The sequence below is a fragment of the Homo sapiens genome, chromosome 13, assembly GCF_000001405.40.
Source record: "Homo sapiens chromosome 13, GRCh38.p14 Primary Assembly".
NCBI classification, from domain to species: domain Eukaryota; kingdom Metazoa; phylum Chordata; class Mammalia; order Primates; family Hominidae; genus Homo; species Homo sapiens.
The window spans coordinates 65305371-65312228 of record NC_000013.11 but is presented as its reverse complement, the minus strand read 5'-3'; the positions used below and the strand labels follow the sequence as shown (position 1 = coordinate 65312228).

The 6858-nt window shown below is 41.0% G+C and overlaps 1 pseudogene; it reads left to right on the top strand.

Annotated features, from left to right (window-relative positions):
- Positions 1153 to 6858, top strand: part of STARP1 (steroidogenic acute regulatory protein pseudogene 1) — a 31022-nt pseudogene continuing 25316 nt past the window's right edge.

The following is a 6858-nucleotide window of genomic DNA, read 5'->3' as shown; positions in this document are numbered from 1 at the left end:
TGAGAACTCATAACTGGAGAACACTAGAAAAAAATGCAACATGGTATCATAGATTAAATACTGAAACAGAAAAAAAGGATATTAATGGAAAAGCTGATAAAATCAGAATAAAGTCTGCAATTTGATTCACAGCATCATACGAATGTGAATTTCTAAGTTGTGATAAGTGTTTCATGGTTGCCTACAATGTAAACCTTAGAGAAACATGAGTAAATGGTAAGAACTCACTATAAAATTTTGCAACTATTCTGTAAATATCAAAATAATAATAATAAAGAGGAAATAGTAGCAAAACAAATGAAAACAAGGGAGTAATACAAAGAGTGGAAATAAATTAAAATGGAACAAAGGGGACCAAACTACATAGACACAAATTAAAACTGCAACATTACCTAAATATTTCTTAAAGATATTAAGCTTTACATATAAAGATTATAGAAATTCATATCTACCTTGATTTTAATGACATAATGTGTATATTAAGATTAATCTGGGTTGTTGTACATTTTCTGTATATTTCTGAATTTGCACATTGCCAGAATGAGTAACTGGCTTTGCATTATAATTAACTCCTTGAGAAATTTATTTAGAGGAATAAAACAATATATTTTGCTAAGTCATAGAATGGACAACTCAGTTATGCTTCAGGTTATCTTAGTAGGGAGTATGTGGGTGAGAGGGTAACAGATATACAAATCACATCCTAGGGTTAGACTTACTGGGAAGATCACATGGGATCAGAAATGGAAGTCAAAGTTTCTGTTATCAAATTTTGGTGACTCCAAAAGGACAGGAAAGACCAGAGATAAGCACTCAATGAGAACAATAAATAAGCAAAAAGGTGTGTCCTACCGATTTCAATATTCAGTGAGTCTATAAGAAGGACCTGAGCCATCGAGCCTGGCCAAAATATTGGATTCTAATTAAAGAGTAGAGTGAGGAGGGGCACAGAGGACAGCCTCCAAGGGGAGGCCGCACTGCAAGCATCCCTGGAGTGGCGAAGGTATGCACTGGATGGATGGCAGCAGGCGCTGCACGGGGAGCTGAGCACTGCCAGGAAGAATCCAGTGAGTGATGGCGTTTATATCTCCTGATGATGATGCACAGCCTTCAGTGGGGGACATTTAATACGTGGAACACCGGGTCCAGGCTGCAGCTGCGGGACTCAGAGGCAAAGCTTGAGTGGCTCAGGAAGGACGAAGAACCACCCTTGAAAGAAGAGGCAGCCTCACCGGCGTTGGCGGCCCCACCACTGCCACATCTGCCAGGAAAGAATGCTGCTAGCGACATTCAAACTGTGCTCCAGGAGCTCCTACAGACACATGCGCAACATGAAGGGGCTGAGGCAACAGGCTGTGAGGGGGCATCGGGCAGGAGCTTAACCGGAGGGCCCTGGGGGCCCCACCCCAAGCGCTTGGATTAACCAGGTTCCGCGGCGGAGCTCTCTGCTTCGTTCTCTGCTGGAAGAGACTCTCTACCCGGGTGCGGTGGCTCACGCCTGTAATACTAGCACGTTGGGGGGCCGAGGCGGGCAGATCATGAGGTTAGGAGTTCGAGAGCAGCCCGACCCACATGGTGAAACCCCATCTCTACTAAAAATACAAAAATTAGCTGGGAGTGGTGGTGCGGGCCTGTAATCCCAACTACTCAGGAGGCTGAGGCAGGAGAATCGCTTGAACTCGGGGACGGGGGGGCGGGCGGGGAAGACTCTCTACAGTGACCAGGAGCTGACCTATCTCCAGCAGTGGGGAGGAGGCCATGCAGAAGGCCTTGGGCATCCTTAGCCCTCGGCAACTACGAGGGCTGGAAGAAGGAGAGCCAGCAGGACAATGGGGATAAAGTGATGAGTAAAGTGGTTCCAGATGGGGCAAGGTGTTCCGGCTGGAAGTCGTGGTGGACCAGCCCATGGAGAGGCTCTACAAAGAGCTCGTGGAGTGCATGGAGGCAATGGGGGAGTGCAACTCCAATATCAAGGCGATCAAGGTCTTGCAGAAGATGATCAGAAAAGATACATTCATTGCCCATGAGCTGGCTGCAGAGGCAGCAGGAAACCTAGTGGGGCCTTGTGACTCTGTGAGCATGTGCTGTGCCAAGCGTCAAGGCTCCACCTGTGTGCTGGCTGGCATGGCCACAGACTTCGGGAACATGCCCGAGCAGAAGGGTGTCATCAGGGGGAGCATGGTCCCACTTGCATGGTGCTTCACCTGGTGACTGGAAGTCCCTCCAAGACCAAACTTACATGACTGCTCAGCATCGACCTCAAGGGGTGGCTTCCCAAGAGCATCATCAACCAGGTCCTGTCCCAGACCCAGGTGGATTTTGCCAACCACCTGCACAAGCGCCTGGAGTCCCACCCTGCCTCTGAAGCCAGGTGTTGAAGGCCAGCCTGCTGTTCCCAAGTGTGTCCAGCTGCACTGCTACACACGCTTATCAGGAGAATCCTTGCTGGAAGCCTGCAAGCTTAAAATCTCCATCTGGCGACAGAGGAATAGGTGGGGTTAGTGTATAGAGTATGATACTAGGATTCAGACTGGTAAAAGTTTTTAGTACCAAGAAAACAAGGATGAGGCTCTTTGATTAAAAGGTAACTTCATTCACTGACTAGCTATGACATGAAGGTTGAGGATCCTAAAATAATTGTAAAACTTTTTTTCTGGGCCTTTATGTGCCCACCTAAAACCATCTTTAAAATGCTAGTGGCTGATATGTGTGGGGGGATGCTAGTCACAGGGCCTGAGGAGTCTTGCTTTATGGGCTGGAGAACCCCATGCCCTGAAGGCAGAGCATGTGCACAAAGCAGAATCTTAGAGGGTCTCCTGCAGCCCTCCACTCCTCCAAGTCGCTGCATGGCAACACCAGATAACAAGCAGCACCCCACAGTGGGTACCTTCCAGAAATATAGTCCAAGCTTTCTCTATGGAAAAAGACAAAACTAATTAGTAAATAGGTTTCCCTATTGAGTCCATAGGCACCAGTCAGAAAAAAGAATCATAATTCACACACAAACACACACACACACACACACACAAAACAAGGACCTGAGTTCAGAAAATGAAGCCTGTAATCACACACTAAAATGAAAACAATAAATCATGTGTAAACAGTTAATAAATGAATAAAATGTATTGCTTCTATAGCCTTGTGATATGGTTTGGCTGTGTCTGCACCCAAATCTCATCTTGAATTCCCATTTGTTGTGGGAGGGGCCTGGTGGGAGGTAATTGAATCATGGGGGAGGGTCTTTCCCATGCTGTTCTAGTGTTAGTGAATAAACCTTACTAGATAGGATGGTTTTAAAAACGGGAGTTTCCCTGCACAAGCTTTTTGCCTGCTGCCATCCATGTAAGATGTGATTTGCTCCTTCTTGCCTTCCACCATGATTGTGAGGCCTCCCCAGCCATGTGGAACTGTAAGTCCATTAAACTTCTTTCTTTTGTAAATTGCCCAGTCTCAGGTATGCCTTTATCAGCAGTGAGAAAGCAGACTAATAGACCTTGGGTTTTGTTATTTCAATCCCTGCTCATGCCCTTGGCTGGAAATCTAAAAAGGTCTTATGAGTTATGTAATTACTGTTAAGTAATATAAGAATCTCACATCAATAATTAATAAGTCTACATCAATGATATAAATCAACACATATACACATGCATGTACACACACATGCATGCACACACACAGATTTAGTTAGAAATAAATGTTCTTCCCCAGTTTATTCTACTGTGTATTAGCCACCAGCAATCTCCATTGTTTCTGACACTTCAAAAATCTGAGGTAGGACAAAAATGTGCCAAGAGTATATGAAAAACATTTCTTTTCTCTTAATAAAAAAATTAGTTAATATAAGTAGAAGCACAGGTATAGGACACAATTCAAGATCTGGTGATCCACTGGCTCATTGATATCTCAAGGAACTCAGTATCTTTATCTCTGTGCTGTACCATCTGAGGTGTCAGAGCAATTACTCTGAGTTATCAGACAGCAGCCAGTAGCAGTCAAGTCTATATACTGCCTTATATACAGTGGGAGAGAATACATTTGTCTATACTTCCCCAGCAGGCATTCTAAAATTCTTTTTGGCTCCCACCCTCACCTGAAACAACAGCCGTACCCAAAATGAATTTTGTTAAATGGCCAAAGCCTACCAATGTTTACCAGTAAAAGCAGGAAAGGGGTATAAAATCAGTTTCATCCAAGGAGAATGGAATTGGTATTTAGTACTTTCTCTGTCTTCAACTTTTTGGTTGACCATGGACAATTTCTTCAATTCCCTGAACTTAGGGTACTTCATTTTAAAAAATTTAAAGATAAGATTAAGAAGCTTCTGAGATTTCTCAAGAGAATGTGATTCTGAAAACTTAGCTTCTGAGAATTTTAATATTTTAATAATTCAACATTTCATATTATGTGATAGACATGGATCTAAAATCTGCAATTACTGATCATAAAAGACAAACACTTTTTATCTCATGGAACATACATTCTAATGCAGGCAACAGGAATAAGTAAAATTTATAGTAAGTTGCTAATAAAAGACACTAAGTACAAAAACAAAGTATAAAAAGATACCAAGAAATGCTGGAGATTTTGAAATAGCATGTGGCCAAAGAATCCCTTTCATGAGGTGATATGAGAACAAATATTAGGAATGTCATGGTAAATTTAAGAGATTAGTGTCCATAAATCAGAGAGAAAGAGACATTATCATGTAGGTGATGGTATTGAGAAGTAAGGAGGACCAGATCTTTGAAAGTCCTTACAGGCCATTAAGAGGTTTATGGTAACAATTTAAATCTTGAGGAAAGCCTATCAGAAAAAAATGGACTGAGAAGAGTCCTTCTTTCTCCAATGTTCAGCAACAAGTTCAACCCTGTGCTCACTCACAAGAAAGCAGTAGAAACCGGACAGCAGGGAATGACATTTTATTACAACCCATGTGTCAACAAAGAGTTAATTGTGTTGCTAAAAGTTCCTGCTGTTTATAATGCCCAAAAAACAATAAAATGGAATTTATATGTGACATTTTATAAATACTCAATTAAGGACAGTGACTTTTAAGCTGCTTTTGGTCAAAAGGTTGCAATAGCATTACAGAGTTCAAAAGATTTACCAAAAGTAAAATACATGTTCCAGACATTGCTGTCATGGCCCTTGATTAACTTGCCATACCACAAATGTTTTCATCTCTAAAATGCAAAGCACAAATGCCGAGCAAACTGGGCTTGTGAAATTTACGCCTCAGAGTATCGTGATTAGCTGATGTGCAATATCCAAGGAAGGTTTAGTTAATTCTGTAGAGTAGATCCTCAAATAATATGATTTCATTTGACATTGTTTATTATAATGTTAATGAGATAAAAAAGTTGATTCCCAGAGGCCCACTGTCTGGTGAGTGAAGTTTGTACATTCTCCCTGTGTCTGCCTTTGTTTTCTCCAGGTACTCTGGTTTCCTCCTATATCCCAAAGATGTACACATTAGGGCAACTGGTGTGCCTACACGGTCCCAGTAGGAGTGAGTGCGTGTGTGTGTATCTGTGTACCCTGTGATGGGATAATGTCCTGTCTAGGGCTGGAAGGCTGGTTTCCACCTTATCCATGAGATGCCAGGACAGGCTCTAGCCACCCCAGGCCTAGAATAAAGGGTATCGAAAATAAATACAAATGATTGTCAAGTAAAAATTTGCAAAGTCTACAATAATCACGCAAAAGCACGACAATAAATGATATGACACAAAAGTGCTCAGCTAGCTACCACATTTGTTACTGTTTGTTAGTGCTCAGCTAGCTACCACATATGTTACTGTTTGTTTTTGAAACTTCAAAGAAAAAACATTCTTAATAATCATACTTTCAAATTAAAATAAAATATGTTTCTATTTTTTTCAGCACACATTGACTTTAATAGATTTTTCTTTCTGGTCACAATTTCCTTAGCATTTCCATTAACCAACAAAGTATTTGTGATGTGTGTTCAGTGTGCCCATTCTTAATGCTTTTACTTTATTCTAATCTGATTACTATTGTTGGATAAAATAATAATAAATCACAAATTATAATCACTTTTATATGCAAATTTCAGAGAAAACTGTTGAGATAGTAAAGAGTAACACAGTACTGCTAAGAAGATTTTAGTTTCTGGCTCTCTTCAATGTGACTTTTTTTTTTAAGTTCTGAAGTTTCTAAAGTAAACGTAGATTAACCTTCCAACTTCTGGTTCTTTCAGTTTATTAAAATTAGTTTTCTCCAATAATACTCTTTTCCACTATATTTTAGTATCTAGGTCTTATGGTCATTACAAAGGTCTTGATGTTATCAAGAATTTTATACATACACTATATTATCATTCGTTACATTCTCTGACAAGTTATTGTCCTTTTAGCTCTAATCTTCAGGTGACTTGAATCTAGCAATTGTTTTTCTATTCTTGAGATGGAGTCTTGCTCTGTTGCCCAGGCTGGAGCGCAATGGCGCAATCTCAGCTCACTGCAACCTCTGTCTCCCAGGTTCATGCGATTCTCCTGCCTCAGCCTCCCAAGTAGTTCGGATCACAGGCTCCTACAATTCTTTAACTTCATCTGGACCACTGATGTTTTCATCCTCTAAAACTCTCAAGTCTAGATTTCCTTCTTACCTATTTTATATCTTCTTTTCAATGATCATGATCACTCTGTCCTGTAGCAATTGGCTTCCCTTGCCCGTATCTCACTCTTGAGTTTGGTGAAATTGCAGAGATGGTTAGATGTAACTGTCTATCTCCTGTTCAGGTACTCATTCAGATGAATATGAGAAACAAATGAGGCTTTACTCCTGTTAGATAATCATACTCGAAACTCTGTTTATTTCCTTATTCCCTCAGATAAC